We start from the raw sequence: 23,442 nt of genomic DNA on the forward strand, positions 1-23,442 counted from the left end.
AAATAAAATCCATAGGTTGACAATTGATTTGCATCGTGAAGTACATAAGGAAACAACCTAGGAAAATGCAGAAGGACCTTTGTAGTAAACAAATGAATACCCCACAATTAAAGATTAAATGAAATCATGTCTTTAAGTGACCGGCATAGTACCTAGGACACAGTACACAGGTTCGAAGCATGGGCACTGAGGCCACTAGGAGAAGCAAAACAGAAGCTAAAGAATCACAAGGAAGAAAAAAAACAGCCAGGTAATCTCCTTCAGAAGAGAAACTTAAAGCATTCCACCAGGATTTCCTTACTGTGGTAATTATGGGGGTTCCCAGCTTACTTGTCTGCTTCCTGCCCTCACAGCCAACAGAGGTAGGCCTTCTCCAGAAAACTATATTAAAAAGGATATAGGTGAATGGAAAGGACAGAAGGGAAGAAGAGAGGAAGGGAGGGAGGGAGGAGAAAACATCTATATAAGGAATATTCTACCTCCTTCTAGGTGGCCATCAGGACTATTCCATTAGGCTCCATTTCCCTTTCAACATCAGTCACCACGAGATATGCCAAGACTCCCAGTTTATTCATCATCAACAAAACCCTTATTCTCAAAGTGTTCTGTACATCTATTAATCAAGCTCAGTCCCTAACCCTTTAAATCAGAGCTTCCCAAACAATGTATTGCGCCCCACAGCTATACAGGGAATGAGTTCCCCTCAGTTCTTGAGGGATCTAAGAGGAGCCTGGGACACATAAGCCTCCAGGACTGCCAATTCGGTATTCTTTTTTTTTTTTTTTTTGAGACAGAGTCTCGCTCTGTCGCCCAGGCTGGAGTGCAGTGGCACGATCTTGGCTCACTGCAAGCTCCGCCTCCCGGGTTCACGCCATCCTCCTGCCTCAGCTTCCCGAGTAGCTGGGACTACAGGCGCCCACGACCACGCCTGGCTAATTTTTTGTATTTTTAGTAGAGACAGGGTTTCACCGTGTTAGCCAGGATGGTCTCGATCTCCTGACCTCGTGCTCCGCCTGCCTCAGCCTCCCAAAGTGCTGGGATTACAGGCGTGAGCCACTGTGCCTGGCCAATTCTGTATTCTTTAAAGGTATTGGACCATTATTGTTTTATGTCATAAAATCAGCCAGGCTGATGCTACAGCAACCTGGCATTAACACTTGAGGTTATTACAGCACAGAGAGCTATGAAAATCAGACATTAAATGGTATAGTATATATACCAATATTCTAACAACAAAGGACAATTCCAGTTGTAACATACTCAGTGTGACATGGTATGGCTAGATGTCATCACAATTTGCCCATCAATTATCTAAACAACAAACTGACTAACTTCTTGATTTGAATACTACTAGTATAACACATGATAGAAAGATACATAGTTAAATTAGGGAAAGGCTTCAAGATCTTTATTTTTAACAAAACTTCTTGGCTATATAATCATTCTCTGATAATGATTACTTGTTTTTTAGGTTTATTTCATTTTCCTTTTTTTTTTTTTTTTAAGACAGAGTCTTGCTCTGTCGCCCAGGCTGGAGTTCAGTGGTGTGATCTCAGCTCACTGCAACCTCTGCCTCCCAGGTTCAAGCAATTCTCCTGCCTCAGCCTCCCGAGTACCTGGCTAATTTTTGAATTTTTAGTCGAGATGGGGTTTTACCATGTTGGCCAGGCTGGTCTTGAACTTCTGACCTCAGGTGATCCGCCTGCCTCAGCATCCCAAAGTGCTGGGATTACACGTGTGAGCCATCCCACCTAGACTTTCATTTTCTAACGGGATAAATAATCTTTTACATCTTTTTTGGATCACTTACCAACCAGAAATATAATTGCATATGAGTTTCCACAGTCCTTACATTGATAGGCTAGCCTCTATAACATAAGGTGAAATAGACTCAATGAATCATCCCATTTTAGTTTTTAAGCTAAGCTAAGAAATACCATTGTTGAACTGTACTCAATTCAACAAACATGGATATAAATGTAAACAAGAAAATGAGACTACTTTCAGTGAGAATGCACACTATAATTCATAAGGTAAGTCTAGCTCAAATACTGAAAAGTCAACCATTTGGGATGAAAGCAAAATGATTTCAAAATACAGAGTCTATTGACAATGGCTGAAGACTTTACATTACACTGTGTGAACTACGGTTTATTTACCCTCCGTGGGTTTTTTTTTTAACCCCCATACCAGAAAAGGATTTTTACACTATAAAGTTGTTTCCTTTTTAAAAAAGGAATTTTAAAAATTAATTTCTAGGTTTTCTAGGATTAAGAAGTTGTAGGACGGGCTAAAGAAAACATTGTGTCAGATAAGTGTTAGCCATCAGACTGCACTTCAAAGAGTTCATAAATCATAAACATAAATGTCAGATGTGACTATCCCTAAAAACGAGGAATGCTCCCTACCCTTCACTCTAACTTCTTCTGCCTTGTACTAAGTTTATTTTGCTGAAGGTCAACCAATACTTCTAATCTTCTTTCCATGGTAAGAGGAAAAGCAAAATTAGTCTATGAAAATTCAAGTTTTATGTATCCTGGTACCAAATGAAGTCCTGAGAAACCGGCTAATAATGAATTTTACTAAAAATTTTCTGTGAGGTTTTCTTTCTTTTTTTTTCTTTTTTTCCCCTAGCTGTGAACACTTCCAGAATTCTGGCAATCTGAAAGCATGGATTCTCATCCCAAGACAATGAAAACCCACGGTTAAGGAACAGACAACAGTTTTAGCATACTCTCAAACAATCCTTGACTAATAGAAGACTTGATAAATTAACCATTTGTTGTACCAAAACTTTGCTTATATCTGCAGAAATTCTACCCTAAACTGTACCTTGTTTACATGGTCATCAGTACATTCTCAGGTATTCCTGTTACAAACAAAGCAAATTATATATTCCTCTAACGTATACCTCCTATCCTTACTAAAATGTTCTTTTTAAAAGCAGGTAGGATACACTGCTATCAGAGATGACTAACACCTCTAGAAGCCTAGCCTTAACCTCTGTGACTCTGTTACTGTATAAGGAGTTAGTCACCCAATAGATTCATTGAATGAATGCAAATGCAGCCACTAATTTAAAGTTAAACCTCAGGAAAGTAACACCCATTCAAGGAAGTTTAAACAAATGTCTAATTGTACCATATTTTGGCATTTAGGAAATTGAAGCATTATTCATATCTTCATTTCTACCTATTTATTATTATTATCTGTCACCAGCAAATTCAAACATAATTTCCCAAGAACTCATAATTTATCTGAAGACATTTTGTATAATTTCATTTCAAACATTCTAATACCAGGAGCCTGGAAAAATACCAGGATAAAAAAAAAGTTTTATTTGTCTTGTGCTCCTTCTCACAGGCAATGAAGGAACACATTACAGTGAGAAAGTTTTCCAGGGGAAATAATCAATAGTATATCATACAATGTCAGAGCCAGAAGGAGCCATAAAGGCTATCTAAGAAAGACTTTGCATGAAGACCATGTAATTATTTCATGCTTTGATGGATTGTCCACTCATCCCACTGAAAACACTTATGAATGAGAGATTTAAAAAATAAAAAGGAAAAAACTATAAGACAAAAATGGGCATGAAAATAAGATAACTATTTCCCCTGGGCCAGAAAAGCAAAGCTGTGGGCAAGATTGAAGTTAGAAATACACAAAACTCTAGGTTAAGAAGAAGGCAATGGAGAGTTTGGCTCCTGCAAAGTAAAGGAAACTAAAAGGGCTCACAGTGGGACAGGGATCAGGAGCCAGGTTCATAGCTTGAAACCAGGCACTATAGTGAGATTCCCGTGTTCATGAAGGAAGGCTGAAAAAATGCTACCAACAGCTGCCAGGAACAAGAACTTATATAGAACTGTTGATAAATAGAAGCAAAAGAAAACAGGCAAGGATTGCTGGCAAGATGGCCAAATAGGAACAGCTCTGGTCTGCAGCTCCCAGCAAGATCCTCGCAGAAGGCAGATGATTTCTGCATGTCCAACTGAGGTACCTGGTTCATCTCATTGGGACTGGTTGGACAGTGGGTGCAGCCCATGGAAGGCGAGCCGAAGCAGGGTGGGGGGTCACCTCACCTGGGAAGCACAAAGGGTCAGGGAATGTTTCCCCCTACCCAGGGGAAGCCATGAGGGACTGAGCCTGAAGAACTCTGGAACAGATACTGTGCTTGTCGCATGGTTTTCGCAAACTGCAGACCAGGAGATTCCCTCCAGTGCCTACCCCACCAGAGCCCTGGGTTTCAAGTACAAACCTGGGTGGCCATTTGGGCAAACACCAAACTAGCTGCAGGAATTCTTTTTTTCCATACCCCAGTGGCACCGGGAATACCAGTGAGACAGAACGATTCACTTCCCCTGGAAAGGGGTGCTGAAGCCAGGGAGCCAAGTGGTATGGGTCTGCGGGTCCCACCCCCACGGAGCCCAGCAAACTAAGATCCACTGGCTTGAAATTCTCACTGCCAGCACAGCAGCAGTCTGAGATCGACCTGGGACGCTCGAGCTTGGTGTGGGGAGAGACGTCCGCCATTGCTGAGGCTTGAGTAGGGTGGTTTTATGCTCACAGTATAAACAAAGCCTCTGGGAAGTTCGAACTGGGTGGAGCCCACTGCAGCTCAGCAAGGCTGCTGTGGCCAGACTGCCAGATTTCCCTTCTCTGGACAGGGTATCTCTGAAAAAAAGGCAGCAGCCCCAGTCAGGGGCTTACAGATAAAACCCCCATCTCCCTGGGACAGAGCACTTGGGGAAAGGGGCAGCTGTGGGCACAGCTTCAGCAGACTTAAACATCCCTGCCTGGTGGCTCTGAAGAGAGTAGTGGACCTCCCAGCACTGTGTTCGAGCTCTGTGAAGGGTCAGACTGCCTCCTCAAGTGGGTCCCTGACCCCTGTTCCTCCTGACTGGGAGACACCTCCCAGTAGGGGCCAACAGACACCTCATACAGGAGAGCTCTGACTGGCATCTGGCAGGTGCCTGTCTGGGACGAAGCTTTCAGAGGAAAGATCGGCAGCAATCTTTGATGTTCTGCAGCCTCTGCTGATGATACCCAGGCAAACAGGGTCAGGAGTGGACCTCCAGCAAACTTCAGCAGACCTGCAGCAGAGGGGCCTGTCAGAAGGAAAACTAACAAACAGAAAGGAATAGCATGTGCACTCAAACACACCAATGGAAGGTCACCAACATCAAAGACCAAAGGTACACAAATCCACAAAGATGGGGAGAAAGCAGTGCAAAAAGGCTGAAAATTCCAAAAGCCAAAATGCCTCTTCTCCTCCAAAGGATCACAATTCCTCACCAGCAAGGGAACAAAACTGGATGGAGAACGAGTTTGACAAATTGACAGAAATAGGCTTCAGAAGGTGGGTAATAACCAACACCTCCAAGCTAAAGGAGCATGTTCTAACCCAATGCAAGGAAGCTAAGAACCTTGAAAAAACGTTAGACGAATTGCTAACTAGAATAACCAGTGTAGAGGAGAACATAAATGACCCGATGGAGCTGAAATACACAGCACGAGAACTTCATGAAGCATACACCGTTTCAATAGCCAAATCGATCAAGAGGAAGAAAGGATACCAGTGATTGAAGATAAACTTAATGAAATAAAGAAAGAAGACAAGATTACAGAAAAAAGAATAAAAAGGACGAACAAAGCTTCCAAGAAATATGAGACTATGTGAAAAGACCAAATCTACATCTGATTGGTGTATCTGAAAGGGACAAGGAGAATGGAACCCAGTTGGAAAACACACTTCAGCGTATTATCCAGGAGAACTTCCCCAACCTAGCAAGACAGGCCAATATTCAAATTCAGGAAATACATAGAACACCACAAAGATACTCCTCAAGAAGAGCAACCCTAAGACACATAATCGTCAGATTCACCAAGGCTGAAATGAAGGAAAAAATGTTAAGGGTAGCCAGAGAGAAAGGTCAGGTTACCCACAAAGGGAAGCCCATCAGACTAACAGTGGATGTCTCGGCAGAAACCCTACAAGCCAGAAGAGAGTGGGGGCCAATAGTCAACATTCTTAAAGAAAAGAATTTTCAACCCAGAATTTCATATCCAGCCTAACTAAGCTTCATAAGCAAAGGAGAAATAAAATCCTTTACAGACAAGCAAATGCTGAGGGATTTTGTCACCACCAGGCCTGCCTTTGAAGGGCTCCTGAAGGAAGCACTAAACATGGAAAGGAACAACCGGTACCAGCCACTGCAAAAACATGCCAAATTGTAAAGAACATCAACACTATGAAGAAACTGCATCAACTAATGGTCAAAACAACCAGCTAGCATCATAATGACAGGATCAAATTCACACATAACAATATTAACCTTAAATGTAAATGGGCTAAATGCCCCAATTAAAAGACACAGACTGGCAAATTGGATAAAGAGTCAAGACCCATCAGTGTGCTGTATTCAGGAGACCCATCTCATGTGCAAAGACACACATAGGTTCAAAATAAAGGGATGGAGGAATATTTACCAAGCAAATGGAAAGCAAAAAAAAAGCAGGAGTTGCAATCCTAATCTCTGATAAAACAGACTTTAAACCAACAAAGATTGAAAGAGACAAAGAACGGTATTACATATTGGTAAAGTGATCAATGCAGCAAGAAGAGCTAACTATCCTAAATATACATGCACCCAATACAGGAGCATCCAGATTCATAAAGCAAGTTCTTAGAGACTTACAAAGAGACTTAGACTCCCACACAATAATAATGGGAGACTTTAACACCCCACTGTCAATATTAAACAGATTAATGAGACAGAAAATTAACAAGGATATTCAGGACCTAAACTCAGCTCTGGGCCAAGCAGACCTAATAGGCACCTACAGAACTCTCCACCCCAAAACAACAGAATATACACTCTTCTTAGCACCACATCACACTTATTCTAAAATTGACCACATAATTGAAAGTAAAACACTCCTCAGCAAATGCAAAAGAATGGAAATCATAACAGTCTCTCAGGCCACAGTGCAATCAAACTAGAACTCAGGATTAAGACACTCACTCAAAACCACACAACTACATGGAAATTGAACAACCTGTTCCTAAATGACTACCGGGTATATAATGAAATGAAGACAGAAATAAAGATGTTCTTTGAAACCAATGAGAACAAAGACACAACGTGCCAGAATCTCTGGGACACATTTAAAGTAGTCTGTAGAGGGAAATTTATAGCACTAAATGCCCACAAAAGAAAGCAGGAAAGATCTAAAATTGATACCCTAACATCAAAATTAGAAGAACTAGAGAAGCAACAGCAAACAAATTCAAAATCTAGCAGAAGACAAGAAATAACTAAGATCAGAGCAGAACTGAAGGAGATAGAAACAAGAAAAACCCTTCAAAAAAAAAAATCAATGAATCCAGGAGCAGTTTTTTTGAGAAGATCAACAAAATAGACTGCTTGCCAGACTAATAAAGAAGAAAAGAGAGAAGAATCAAACAGACGCAATAAAAAATGATATAAGGGATATCACTGATTCTGTGGGATCAGTGGTGATATCCTTATATCAGTGGTGATATCCTGTGGGATATTCTTATATCACCACTGATCCCATAGAAATACAAACTACCACCAGAGAATACTTTAAGCACCTGCATGCAAATAAACTAGAAAATCTAGAAGAAATGGATAAATTCCTTGACACATACACCCTCCGAAGTCTAAACCAGAAAGAAGTCGAATCCTTGAATAAACCAATAACAAGTTCTGAAATTGAGGCAGTAATTAATAGCCTACCAACTAAAAAAAGTCCAGGACCAGACCGATTCACAGCCAAATTCTACCAGAGGTACAAAGGGGAGTTGGTACCATTCCTTCTGAAACTATTCCAAACAATAGAAAAAGAGGGAATCCTCCCTAACTCCTTTCATGAGGCCAGCATCATCCTGATACCAAAGCCTGACAGAGACACAACAAAAAAAGAAAATTTAAGGCCAATATCCCTGAGGAACATCAATGCGAAAATCCTCAATAAAACACTGGCAAACCAAATCCAGCAGCACATCAAAAAGCTTATCCACCATGATCAAATCAGCTTCATACCTGGGATGTAAGGCTGGATCAACATATGCAAATCGATAAATGTAATCTATCACGTAAACAGAATCAATCACAAAAAAACACGATTATCTCAATAGATGCAGAAAAGGCCTTTGACAAAATTAAACAGCGCTTCATGCTAAAAACTCTCAATAAACTGGGTATCAATGGAATGTATCTCAAAATAATAAGAGCTATTTATGACAAACCCACAGCCAATATCATACTGAATGGGCAAAAACTGGAAACATTCCCTTTGAAAACCGGCACAAGACAAGGATGCCCTCTCTCATCCCTCCTATTCAACATAGTATTGGAAGTTCTGGCCAGAGCAATCAAGAAAGAGAAAGAAATAAAAGGTATTCAAATAGGAAGAGAGGAAGTCAAATTGTCTCTGTTTGCAGATGACATGATTGCATATTTAGAAAACCCCATCGTCTCAGTCCAAAATCTCCTTAAGCTGATAAGCAACTTCAGCAAAGTCTCAGGATCCAAAAAATCAATGTGCAAAAATCATAAGCATTCCTATACATCAATAACAGACAGAGAAAAATCATGAGTGAACTCCCATTCACAATCGCTACAAAGATAATAAAATACCTAGGAATCCAACTTACAAGGGATGTGAAGGACCTCTTCAAGGAGCACTACAAACCACTGCTCAAGGAAATAAGAGAGGACACAAACAAATGGAAAAATATTCCATGCTTACGGCTAGGAAGAATCAATATCATGAAAATGGCCATACCACCCAAAGTAATTTATAGATTCAATGCTATCCCCATCAAGCTACCACTGACTTTCTTCACAGAATTGGAAAAAAACTACTTTAAAGTTCATATGGAACCAAAAAAGAGCCTGCATTGCCAAAACAATCCTGGGCAAGAAGAACAAAGCTGGAGGCATCACGCTACCTGACTTCAAACTAGGGCTACAGTAACCAAAACAGCATGGTACTGGTACCAAAACAGATACATAGACCAATGGAACAGAACAGAAGCCTCAGAAATAACACCACACACCTACAACCAACTGATCTTTGACAAACCTGACACAAACAAGCAATGGGGAAAAGATTACCTATTTAATAAATGTTGTTGGGAAAACTGGCTAGCCATATGCAGAAAATTGAAACCGGATCCCTTCCTTACACCTTATACAAAAATCAGCTCGAGATGGATCAAAGACTTAAACATAAGACCTAGGACCATAAAAATCCTAGAAGAAAACCTAGGCAATACCATTCAGGACATAGGCATGGGCAAAGACTTCATGTCTAAAACACCAAAAGCAATGGCAACAAAAGCCAAAACTAATGGGATCTAATTAAACTAAAGAGCTTTTGCACAGCAAAAGAAACTATCATCAGAGTGAACAGGCAACCTACAGAATGGGAGAAAATTTTTGCAATCTATCTGACAAAGGGCTAATATCCAGAATCTACAAAGAACTTAAACAAATTTACAAGAAAAAAAAAACCATCAAAAAGTAGGCAAAGGATATGAACAGACAGTTCTCAAAAGAAGACATTTATGTAGCCAACAGACATGAAAAAATGCTCATCATCATTGGTCATTAAAGAAATGCAAATCAAAACCACAATGAGATATTATCTCACGCCAGTTAGAATGGCGATCATTAAAAAGTCAGGAAACAACAGATGCTGGAGAGGATGTGGAGAAATAGGAACGCTCTTACACTGTTGGTGGGAGTGTAAATTACTTCAACCATTGTGGAAGACAGTGTAGCGATTCCTCAAGGATCCAGAACCAGAAATATCATTTGACCCAGAGATCCCCTTTACCAGGTATATACCCAAAGGATTATAAATCATTCTACTATAAAGACACATGCACACGTATGTTTATTCCGGCACTATTCACAATAGCAAAGACTTGGAACCAACCCAAATGTCTATCAATTATAGACTGGATAAAGAAAATGTGGCACATATACACCATGGAATACCATGCAGCCATAAAAAAGGATGAGTTCATGTCCTTTGCAGGGACATGGATGAAGCTGGAAACCATCATTCTCAGCAAACTATCACAACAGAAAACGAAACACTGCATGTTCTCACTCATAAGTGGGAGTTGAACAATGAGAACTCATGGACATAGGGAGGGGAATATCACACACCAGGGCCTGTTGGGGGTTGGGGGCTAGAGGGTGGATAACATTAGGAGAAATACCTAACATAGGTGACGGGTTGTTGGGTGCAACAAACCACCATGGCACATTACACCTATGTAACAAAACTGCGCGTTCTGCACATGTATCCCAGAACTTAAAGTATAATAAAAAAAAAAGAAAGAAAGAAAATAGATATGCTCTTAAATTGAATAAAAAACAATTTGAACTTCCCCTCTGGTTCAGTGGTAGGTCTGCCATATCCCCAATATCATCATGTTCAAGATCCCTGAAGCATTTATAAGACCTGGTTCTACATTAAAGACTTAGGAGCTGAAAAGGAACAAGTGCAAAATCATCAGACAGAGAAGGATAAGCACAGAGAAAATGAGCGGAATGAAAAAAAACAAAAACCCCTACCTCTCAAAATGAGGCTTTAAACCAATATTCCAGCAATTGAAATACAAAATCATTTCACATGAAATCATTGAGAACAGTCTTACAAGGACCTTTATGAGGTACCTGCATTAGTCCATTTTCACACTGCTGATAAAGACATACTCAAGACTGGGTAATTTATAAAGAAAAAGAGGATTAATGGACTGATAGTTCCATGTGGCTTGGGAGGCCTCACAATCATGGCAGAAGGCTAAAGCCATGTCTTACATGGTGACAGACACGAGAGAATAAGAACCAAGTGAAAGGGGTTTCCCCTTATAAAACCATCAGATCTCGTGAGACTTATTCACTACCACGAGAACAGTATGGAAGAAACTGCCCCCATGATTCAGTTAACTCCCACCAGGTCCCTCGCACAACACATGGGAATTATGGGAACTACAATTCAAGATGAGATTTGGGTGGGGGCACAGGCAAACCATATCAGTACCCCAAATAAATGAAGAAATAATTTCTTCTTTAAAAATATGCCATTATGTGCATGTTCTCGCTTGTGAGTGGGAGCTGATCAATGAGAACACATGGTGGGGGAACAACACACACTGAACACCTGTGCGGTGGGTGGTGGAGGGAGGGTGGGGTAGGGTGGGGTTGGGGGGGCGGAGAGAGAGCATCAGGAAGAATAACTAATGGATGCTGAGCTTAATACCTGGATGATCTGTACAGTAAACCACCATGGCACACAAAATTTACCTATGTAACAAACCTGCACATCTTGCATATATACTCCTGAAGTTAAAAAAAAGTTGAGAAAAAAAAAGTTATTATGAAAACACAAGGTGAACTAAAATTAGATTCCTTTATATATTTTTGGTTTAAAGTTTTATCAGTTTTTATACAGTTAACAAAATTAACAATTGGAACACACATTTGGTACAGATGAAGTTAATTATACATAAAACTCTTTATAAAGACTTCAGGCCAGGTGCACTGGCTCATGTCTGTAATCCCAACACTTTGGGAGGCCGAGGCAAGAGGACTGCTTGAGCCCAGGAGTTCAAAACCAGCCTGGGCAACATAGTGAGACCTCATCTCTACAAAAAGTAAAAAAAAAAAAAAAAAAAGAAAAAGAAAAAAAAATTAAAAAAACAAAAAAATCAGCCAGGTGTGGTGGCATGTGCCTGTAGTCCCAGCTACTTGGGAGGCTGAGGTAGGAGGATGGCTTAAGTAAAGAAGGTCGAGGCTGCAGTGAGTCATGACTTCGCCACTGCACTCTAGCCTGATGACAGAGCAAAACCATCTCCAAAAAACAAAAAAAAAGGCCAGGAATGGTGGCTCATGCCTGTAATCCCAGAACTTTAGGAAGCCAAGGTGGGCTAATCACCTGAGGTCAGGAGTTTGAGACCAGTCTGGCCAAAATGGTGAAACCCCATCTCTACTAAAAGTACAAAAATTAGCCAGGCGTGGTGGCATGCACCTGTAGTCCCAGCCACTCGGGAGGCTGAGGCAGGAAAATCACTTGAACCATGGAGGCAGAGGTTGCTGTGAGCAGAGATCACACCACTGCACTCCAGCCTGGGTGACAGAGCAAAACTCTGTCTCAAAAAAAAAAAAAAAAAAAAAAGACTACAAAATAACTATCCAAAGAGAAATTTAAAAATCATTTCTAATTTTAAAAGAATAAGAAATTACAAAAACACACAGAACTGAAAAAAAACTGGTATAAGAACATATATACATACATACATATATACACACATCTCTAAAAAGAACCAAAAATCCTAGAAAGAATATGATCACTAACAAAGCAATGGATAAGATAAAACCCTCAAATAGACACAGTTAAATAGACAATTGGTGAGTTGGAAGTTCAAACTGGTTAATTCATCCAGAACATAGCACAAAGAGCAAAGAATTAAAAATATGTGAAAAAACCAAGAGACATGGAAAATAGATTAAGAGGATCCAAGATACAACAATTAAAACTTTAAAAAGAGATAGATACAAATAATGTTGAAGAAGCAATATTTACAGAAATGACTAAATTCTTTCCAGAATTGAAGAAAAGCAAGAGACCCAGGTTAACAAATAACAAATGACTCTGGGTACCAGCAAGGCAAATAAAACATCTAGATTCATAAATGATACATTGGTCTCATTCCACAAAGAATCTAAATCACTTATCAGATTATATATAAAACAATAACTAAATATGTAAAAAAACAGAGTCACAGAAAATTACATGAAGTAATAGATCAAGACCAGGTAGAAAGTTAGAATGCACATACATGGGCTTGAATTTTCAACTGAATTTCCAGGTGGCGAAAGTAAAAAGGGAAACTTATCAGTCACAAGAACTTCTGGCAAAAGTAAAAAAGGAAACTTATCAGTAACAAGAATTTCATTGTCCCAAGAAGAAAATATAGGGTAAACAAAGATGTTCCTAGCCTTCATATAATGGTCTATTAATGACATGGAAAGCAATCTCCAGAACAATATCCCTATAAGTGTAGTCTATTTCATAAGGCTATTTCTAACAAGCCTCTTATATGGCATAGGCCCTGTCTGCTCCTCAGCTTCATCTCATACCACTCTGTTTTACTGATAACATTCCAGCACTAAACAGCCTATATATCCCAACCTTCTCTTGACATCCCTAGAACCTAGCATCACGCCAGTCGTAAAGTAGATACTTGATAAATGTCAGGGTTTTTTATTTTTATTTTTATTTTTGAGATACAGTCTCGTTCTGTCGCCCAGGCTGGAGTGCAGTGGCACGACCTTGGCTCACTGCAACCTCCACCTCCCGGGTTCAAGCGATTCTCCTGCCTCAGCCTCCTGAGTAGCTGGTATTACAGGCGCCTGCCACCATGTCTGGCTAATTTTTTTGTATTTTTAGTAGAGATGGGGTTTCACCATGCTGGCCAGGCTGGTCTCGAACTCCTGGCCTCAAGTGATCTGCCCACCTTGGCCTCCCAAAGTGCTGGTATTACAGGCGTGAGCCACCATACCCGGCCTAAATGTCAAATTAAAAAAAAAAAAGAAATTGAACAAGTTATTAAGTGAATGGTGACCTTAGAGCGTCACCATTCACTTAATAACTAACCAACACCTCAGTGGTTAGTTAAGTGAGGTTTAAGCATACCTCAGTAAAAGCAGTCTGCTGGAAGTGAAATAATGTGGTCTGAAAACTAAGAATTTAGTTTGATTCAGAAGTAAAACCTAGAACAATTAAAGCAGAAGTTGCAAACTGGCATCCTTCAGATGGGAAGGGCCTTTACACATGTTTTATTTGTCCAATTCCACAAGCAATTGGAAACATTAAACAAAATCTTTTAAGGAGAAAAATGTTTTCCATAAATGCCTCCTACAATATTACTAAAAGATGGTCTACCAATTATTTTACAAGAACACTTTTGGAAGACACAGTCTCTTCCATTCTGGAGCTGCTCTAACTAGCTAATACCTTCTGTCATCCTGATCTCTCTACTCCCTCTTCCTAGTTTTGCACTTCAGAGTTACAAAAACTAGTCAAATTCAATTCACGTGCATACACATGAAATCTATAATGGAGGCTGTTGAAAATAATGCAGCTTCTTTGACCATTTTCCCAAAAAGCATGATTTCCAACCCCACCACCAACTTTGGTCATCTTTTGGATGCACCTCAGACTGCCAATGTCTCTCTTAAAATGTGTCCAGGACTGGGCGCAGTGGCTCACGCCTGTAATCCCAGCACCTTGAGAGGTCGAGGCGGGCAGATCACGAGGTCAGGAGATTGAGACCATCCTGGCCAACATGGTGAAACCCTGTTTCTACTAAAAATACAAAAAAAAAAAAAAAATTAGCTGGGCATGGTGGTGTGTGCCCGTAGTCCCAACTACTCGGGGGGCTGAGGCAGGAGAATCGCTTGAACCTGAGAGGCAGAGGCTGCAGTGAGCCGAGATCATGTCACTGCACTCCAGCCTGGCGACAGAATGAGACTCCATCTCAACAAAAAGACAAAAAAAAGTGTCCAGTAGTAGATTATTTGAAGGGAGGGAAATGGACAGAGTGAAACACAGGTTTCTTGTCTTGGTGTCCACAATTATAAAATGGGAATAACAGTAACTACTGTATCCCTCAAAGGTTATAGGGAAAACATAAATGAGTTAATCTATGTAAAGTGCTTAGAACAGTGCCTGACACATGATCTTAATATATGTTCTTTAACCCAAAATACAGAGAAAGAGTCCACAGCATAAACTGATATAGAGAGGTTAAGACAGAGGTGCCTATAAAAAATCTTATTTTTTGATCAGCGGTCAGGGCAGGGGACTCAAACTCAACCAGTGGGACCAGGTAAACAACAAATGAGTGAAGACATACGCAGACCACTATGTCCTGTATAAAAGGAGCCAAAATAAAAACGGGCATGTTCACACACAAAAGGTTCAAAATCACAGATCTAGTATGAATTCTCCCCTCTCTCCACTCTGTTTTATCCTGGCCTAACCACTAAATTAATTAATAGAAACAGAAGGTTTGGGGAGGAAAATAATGGGGATCAGCATCAACAATGATTTCCTCTCAACACCTTTACGAGATGTGCTACCGAATAGCCATGAAAAAGTGAAACTTACTAGCAAATCTATGTCCCCAAGAGTACTAACATTTAATTATAGCCACCATTTCTTTAATGAAGTTTAAAAACTTAATTAAATTTTTAATGAAGTTTTTTAAAACTTCCTTTAATGAAGTTTTTAAAAACTTAAAAATCAAACTGTACCAACTATTTCAGGAGAGGACTCCATCTGCTCTTCCTTCTATATGAATTTCTAAACACTGTTATAAGATAAGGAAAAATGAAATAAAAATAAACAGTAAGATTTTAAAAAGTAATTTACAAAACAGGACACAGAAAATAATACTCAATTTTGCCCTGGTGGACGTCCTATTGTGATAGTTATCCTGTCTCCTTATTTGTTCTATAGGACAAGATTGGCAGAAAGAAAAGCTCCAAATATATTCACCATTAATCTCTAATAGCATTAGACAGAAAAGTAACCACACACCGCTAAATTAAGCTACATTTTTAAGTTTCTATGCAGATGAAATTCACCAAAAAAGAACCCCCACCACATGCACATAACACTAACTTCTTGTATAGTATGCCCAAGTCTTCATAATTTTATTTCTTAAAAGAGTAAAAATAGCAAAAAATTTTAGGTGCAACAGTATAAATACCACAGGGTATTTGCCAACATGTCTGTGTTTACTCTGTGTTTGTCTTTAAGCAAGGAGCCGCCCTTAAAGTCCACAATGTTTTCCTGCTCCTTCTCTCCAGCCACAGTAACCTTCTGTATCCTTCCTTCACTAGCAGCATTCTGCCAAAGACTACAGGAAGTACTTTAATACACAGCACTTGCCTGTAGCAATTTCAGTTTGAGTACTGCAAATGATTTTACCAACACCTCAGTGGTTAGCTAATTGCAGTCAGAAGCTAGACTTGATTGTTCCCTAATATTTAATGTTGCTCAGTTATTCTTACATGACTTCTGTTTTCACAGATACATTTGTCATTTGTAGAAACAGATATGCAATACATCTGTTACTTCTGGAGAATTACAAAGTGAACTTCACAAACCATACTTAAAAATAAAACATTAATACTCTTGTAGGAAACTGAAACTACCAAGCAACTTGAAAAAGTTCACTGCTTGAATTCCTCCAATTATATAAGCAAGGTTTTGCAATATTATTTTCTTTCTTTCTTCTAACATCGCCCTAAAGAGGTAATACAAGTTTACTTTGCATGTGCTTGAGATAAAATTTTCCAAATTGCTGTCATACGATCAATCCCACTTGAATTAATTTCCTTCACAATATTTTTCTTTTAGGATGGCTCACCTGTATGCTCTGTAAACCTCACAAACGCTCAATCTTTTTAGTCAATCAATCCTTTGCACAGAGGATAACAATATACATTCCTCGTAATAATTCTATAAAATTATTCTTTTTCTATAAAAGTCATTCTTTTCCAGTTGGCCATAATGCCATATAAGTGGCTTTGAAGAGAAAGAAGTTAATATATTTAACTGGAAGACCACATAAAATCAAATAATAAAAACTGTACATGTGCAAGGATTTTTTTTTCTTTTTTGAGCATTGCTGTAATCACAGTACCTAGAAGACTTGTTAAGATATCAGTTCCCCCTAAATTGACTTAAAGATTCAAACCAAGTCCAATCAAAATATCAGGCAGCATATGGGAGAAATTAACAAACTGATTCTAAAATTTATAAGAAAATATAAAGGGCAATAATAGTATAAGATCTTAAACGAACAGATATCAAGATTTATTGTTATAAAGACAAAGTACTTAAAACAGTGTGATATCGGGAAAAAAATATTTCAAAGATAGGTCAGTTGACTAGAATAAAAAGTCCAGAAACAGACTTACATACACAGTTAACTAATGTGCCACAAAATATCACTTCAATACAGTGCTGGAGTGCAGTCAGGGGGAATAAACTTTTCAATCCATATAGAAAAATAAACTTTTCTATATGGATTTTCAGTTGAGGAAGCACAAAATATGCTTGCAAGACTACATAATATCATAGAATAAAACTCTGTATGTGCAAGGACTTATGTGTGCAAGTATAAAATATGTGCAAGCATATGTGCAAGCATAAAATATGCTTCAACTGAATATCCACATAGAAAATGAAATCCTCACCCCAATACAATATCACATACGAAAATTTACTTCAGAAAGACCATAGAACTAAATGTGAAATATTAAACAATAAAAATTCCAGAACATTGCATAACACACCTCAAGGTGGACTTTAGGATAGCAATATACCCTTAAGTAGGACATAAAGAGAGCACTGAATATAAAAGAAAAAAAATATATTTCCTTAAAATTAAAAACTTGTTTTCATCAAAAGAAACCATTAACAGATAAAAAGCTATCAAACAAAACATTTCCACATGAGATTACAGAGATATCTGTAATACATACATCTGACAAAGGAGTCAAATTTGGAACGTATAAAGAGATAGTAAAACTGGCCAGGCACAGTGGCTCATGCCTGTAATCCCAGCACTTTGGGAGGCTGAGGTAGGAGGATCACTTGAGCTCAGGAGTTCGAGGCTGTAGTGAACTAGGATCACGCCACTGCACTCCAGCCTAGGCGACAGAGTGAGACCCTGTCCCAAGGATGGACGGACAGACAGTGGGGAGGGAGGGAGGCAGGGAAAGAAAGACCATAAATCAATAAGAGAAAAGCCAACAAGAGACTTTAACAGGCACTTAATAACACAAAATATTTAGATGCCCAATCAAGATATGAAAAGTTCCTCTAATTCATTAATCATCAGGAAAGTGCAAATCAAACCCACAATTCTTTACCATCATATATTCACCAGAAAGGCTAAAATGAAAACCACAGACAAAACCAAGTATAGGTGAGGATTTAAAGCAATAACAACTCTCATTCACTGCTCACAGGATTGTAAATTGCAATAATCACCTGAGAAAACCATTTCATGATATTTCCTAAAGCTGAACAACACATAACCTATGACACAACAATTCCATTCCTTAGGTAAATACCCAATAGAACACATTCATATAGTCACCAAAAGATACATATAAGAATGTTCACAGTGGCACCATTCATAATGATTGATTATAGCCACTACAATTGTTATTATCAGAAACAACAGACAATGACAGGTATTTGCTAGGACATTACTAGAACTAGAACCTTCATGCATTGCAAAACGAGAATGCAAACACAATGCAAAGCAGAAATGCAAAATGATACAGTCAATTTGGAAAACAGTTTGATCATTTGTTAAAAAGTTAAACATGGTGGGAGGCCAAGGAGGACGGATCACTTGAGGTCAGGAGTTCGAGACCAGCCTGACCAACATAGCAAAACCCATCTCTACTAAAAATACAAAAATTAGCTGGGAGTGGTGGTGCGTGCCTGTAATCCCAGCTACTCAGGAGACTGACGCATGAGAATTTCTTGAACCCAGGGGGCAGAGTTTGCAGTGAGCCAAGATCATACCACTGACAAGACTGTCTCAAAAGAAAAAAAAAAATCAACAAAGAAAAAATCATTAAACACGGGGGCCAGGCATGGTGGCTCACGCCTGTAATCCCATCACAATGGGAGGCCAACGCAGTCGGATCGCTTGAGTCCAGGAGTTCGAGACCAGCCTGGGCAACGTGGCAAAACCTCATCTCTACTAAAAACACAAAAATTAGCCAGGCATGGTGGTGCACACCTGTAGTCCCAGCTACTTGGGAGTCTGACATAGGAGAATCACCTGAGCCCCCGGGAGGTCGAGGCTGCAGTGAGCCATGATCATACCACTTTATTCCAGCCTGGGCAACAGAGTGAGAACCCATCTCAAAAACAAACAAAAAAATGTTAAACATAAAATCACCAAATGATGTGAAAATTCTACTCTTAGTACATACCCAAGAAATATGAAAACATGTCTAAATAAAGACTAATATGGTTATTAGGCAGCATTATACCTAATAACCAAATTTGAAACATGGGAAAATGGGAAGCAATCTAATGTTCACCAGTTGGTGAATGGATAAACAAAATGTTATATATCTGTGCCAAGAAACACTACTCACCAATAAAAAGGAATAAATTAATGATGCATAGTAAAACATGTAAGAACCTCAAAAATATCTGCTAAGCGAAAGAAGACAGACAAGAAAGGAGACATACCATATGATTACATTTGTATGATACGTCCAGAAGAGGCAATTTTAGAGAGACATAAAGCTGATGGTTACTTTGGGCTCAGGATAAAAGTAGAGACTGACTTCAAACAGCCACAGGAGATGAACTGGAATAATGGCAATGTTCTAAAACTGAATTGTGCTGATTATGGCATAACTTTGTATGTTTGCTAAAAATCATTTAATTACATACTTAAGATTGATGAATCATTAATGGTATGTAAATTAAAAGTATACATAAAAGTATTTTTTAAAGTAACCAGCAAGGGATAGCAGGTGGGAAGCTATAAATGAACAAATTTTGTAATGTATTGATACTACTAGAAGCTGGGTGATAGCTAATAAGAGTTTGTTATGCTAGGCCCGGCGCAGTGCCTCACGCCTGTAATCCCAACACTTTGGGAGGCCAAGATGGGTGGATCACGAGGTCAGGAGATCGAGACCAACCTGGCTAACATGGTGAAACCCCGTCTCTACTAAAAATACAAAAAATTAGCCAGGCATGGTGGCGGGCACCTGTAGTCCCAGCTACTCAGGAGGCTGAGGCAGGAGAATGGCATGAACCCGGGAGGCGGAGCTTACAGTGAGACAAGATTATGCCATTGCACTCCAGCCTGAGACTCTGTCTCAAAAAAAAAAAAAAAAGAAAAAGAAAAAAAAGAAAAAAAAAAGTTTGTTACGCTCATTCGTTCTACTTTCACATATGTTTGAAAACTTTAATAATAATGTTTCTTTAAAAATTAAGAAACCAAACAACCCAATTTAAAAAAAAATCAATAAAATATTTGAACAAACACCTCACCACAGAATATATACAGATGGCAAATAAACACATGAAAATGATGCTTAGCATCATTAGATATTAGGTAAATACAAATTAAAACCACAATAAATACTACTACACATCTATCACAATATCAAAAATTAAGAAGACTATATCTAGTGTTGAGGAAGACATGTAGCACCTAGAACTCACATACACAGCTGGTGGGAACAATCTCCTTGGAATACAGTTTGGCAGTTATTTAAAAAGTTAAAAATGATTCAGCCATTCCATTCCACTTACCCAAGAGGAATGAAACCACTTATCCATACACAAATGTTTATAGCAACTTTATTTATAATACTCAAAAAACAGAAATAACTCACATGTCCATCAACAGGAAAATGGATAAACTGTGGTATATCCATACAATGGAATACTACACAGCAATAAAAAGAAATGAAATACTGATGCACACAACAACATAAACTACAAAATAGTTAATGCTAAATGAAGAAGCCAGCTGGGAGAGAGGGATTATAAGGACACACAGGAAAACTCTGGGGGCTTACAGATGTGTTCATTATCTTGCTTGTGATGCTAGTTTCACAGGTACATACTCATGCCAAAATTTATCAAATTATAAATTGTGTGGCTTATTGTGTATCAACTACATAACAATAAAGCTATTTTTTTAAGTCAGTATAGTAGATTCCTTGAGTAAGAGTGAGGGCAGTAATGGCAGGGAACAAGAGGAATTTCTGGGATGCTGTTAATGTGTTTCTTTACCTGGGTGCTAGTTATATGGATGTGTTTGCCTTGAAAATTCCTGAAGCTACATAATTATGACTTGTACTCTTCTCTGTACGTATATGTCAATTTTTCTAAAGCTTATTAAAAAGAAAATGAGATACTACTATATACTCACCAAAATGTCAGTCTTTTTAATTTTAGAGAATACTAAACTTTAGCAAAGATATGAAGCACCTGGAACTCTCATACATTGCTGGTGAGAATGTCAACTGGTACAGTCACTTTGGAAAACTGGCTGTATCTACTAAAGTAGAACATACCACATGCCCGATGCCCTAGCAGTTCTACCCCCAGACATATACCAAAGAAAGATATGTTCATATGTCCACTTAAAGACACGTATAAAACCTTTGTTTAGAAGCCCTAGTCAAAAGTCATACAAAACAAGAATAGGAATTTTCTCTATCAGTATAAATTGTGATATATTCATTCAGTGGACACAATAAAGAATGAACTACTACTACATGCAACAACATGCATGAAGCTTAAAAGCTGAATACTGAATGAAAGAAATCAGACACAGAAGGGTACATATTCTATGATGCCATTTAAGTTCAAAAATTAGAAATCCAAAAATAACAACTATTCTGATAAAAAAAAAAAAAGTACTGGTTGCCATTGAAAGGTATGAATATTAACTGCTTCTGGGGCCCTGATAATGTTCTTGGGGGATAGGGGATTGTTCTTTTTTAGAGACAAGGTCTCACTCTGTCACCAAGTCTGAAGCACAGTGGTGCGATCACAGCTCACTGCAGCCTTGAAATCCTGGACTCACGTGATTCTCCTGCTTCAGTCTCCAAGTAGTTACGACTAGAGGCATGCGTCACCTCGCCTGGCTAATTTTTTTTTATTTTTTATAGAGATGGGGCCTCATTATGTTGTCAGGCCGGTCTGAAACTCCTGATCTAAAGTGATCAATATGATCTGGCCTCACCAAGTGTTGGGATTACAGGCGTGCGCTACCGCACCTGGCCTGCTGGTAATGTTCTATACCTTAATCTGGATAATAGTTTACATGAGTGTGTTCACAAAAATTTATCAAACAGTGTACTAAGGACTTGTCCATCTTACTATAAATAGGCTATATTTCAACTTTTTAAAATGTATTCCCCAAAATTTCAAGTCTACACTAAGCCAAAAGAGTTAAGAGAAATAATTTTTTTTTTTTTTTTGAGACAGTCTTGCTCTGTTGCCCAGGCTGGAGTGTGGTGGCCTGATCTTGGCTCCCTGAAACCTCTGCCTTCTGGTTTCAAGTGATTCTCCTGCCTCAGCCTCCTGAGTAGCTGGGATTACAGGTACCCGCCACGACGCCTGGCTAATTTTTTTTGTATTTTTAGTAGAGACGGGGTTTCACCATGTTGGTCAGGCTGGTCTCGAACTCCTGATGTCGTGATCCGCCCGCTTCAGCCTCCCAAAGTGCTGGGATTACAGGCATGAGCCACTTTGCCTGGCCTAGAAGTAAATAATTTAAATAATGCAACTGTCCTCTCTGACCACATCCTGTCCCCATACAGGAAATGCAAATAAGCCTGAAATAATCAATGCATACTGGCAAAATCTATAGAAAGAATATGCTAATTATTTCAGAGGTTTCTCTACTATTGACAAGAAGTAAAAACAATGTTTACACAATCAAAAAGAGAGGATAGAAATATCTTTGTCTATATACTCAGAAAATAAGTTGAAAATTAATTGGGAGAACATTAAAGAGTAAGAAGAACTCAGAAGGATCATCTAAAGGGCAAATGTGATAAGTAACAGAAACAGGCAGTAAACTGGCTCTCTATAAATGGGCTCGATTTTCCCAAGCAGAGACACACTGGAGTATTTTAATTTCTGCATATGATTACTTTATAAAAATTTTAAAAATGCATTATTAGATACGTTACATAGTTTACATACATTATTATATAGGATTGTATAAACAAAACTAGTTATAATCTATTTGAGAGACATTTAAAGAAATTTTTCAGCCAGGCGCGGTAGCTCATGCCTCTAATCCCCAGTGCTTTGAGAGGCTGAGACAGGAGAATTACTTGAACCCAGGAGTTCGAGACCAGCCTGGGCAACATAGTAAGACCCTGTCCCTACAAAATAAAAATACTAGACGGGTATGGTGGCATGCACCTGTAGTCCCAGCCACTCAGTAGGCTGAGGCAGAAGGATCACATGATCCCAGGAGTTCAAGATTACACTAAGCTATGATTGTGCCACTGCAATCCAGTCTGGGTGATAGAGCAAGACCCTGTCTCAAAAAAAAAAAAAAAAAAAAAAAGAAAGAAAGAAAAGAAATTTTTCAAGGGTAAATTTGACTTTAACTTTGACCACTCTGTAAAATGTAATTCCACTGTACCTGCATACATTCATATTTACACACAGATACACAGCATAAATATCTATGTGCATATATGTATTTAACAAAAAAAAGACCAAGTTTAAATATATCATTTAGAGTTACAAAAGTAACAAAGGTACTAAAGTAGTGCCACAATTATATTGAAAAGAGTA

At 38.8% G+C, this 23,442-nt stretch overlaps 1 protein-coding gene across 5 annotated transcripts in view; it reads right to left on the reverse strand.

Annotated features, from left to right (window-relative positions):
- Positions 1–23,442, reverse strand: part of FCHSD2 (FCH and double SH3 domains 2) — a 305,574-nt gene that overhangs the window by 220,366 nt on the left and 61,766 nt on the right. The window contains exon 1 of one of the 5 annotated variants that reach the window (XM_047427949.1): positions 1–19,986. This exon is cut by the window's left edge and continues 20,205 nt beyond it. The exons of the other annotated variants lie outside the window; for them this stretch is intronic. The gene's annotated coding sequence lies outside the window, so the exon portion shown is untranslated. Of the gene's footprint in view, positions 19,987–23,442 lie in introns of those variants that run through there. 5 annotated transcript variants of the gene reach the window in all.

Source organism: Homo sapiens, chromosome 11, assembly GCF_000001405.40.
Source record: "Homo sapiens chromosome 11, GRCh38.p14 Primary Assembly".
Taxonomy (NCBI): Eukaryota; Metazoa; Chordata; class Mammalia; order Primates; family Hominidae; genus Homo; species Homo sapiens.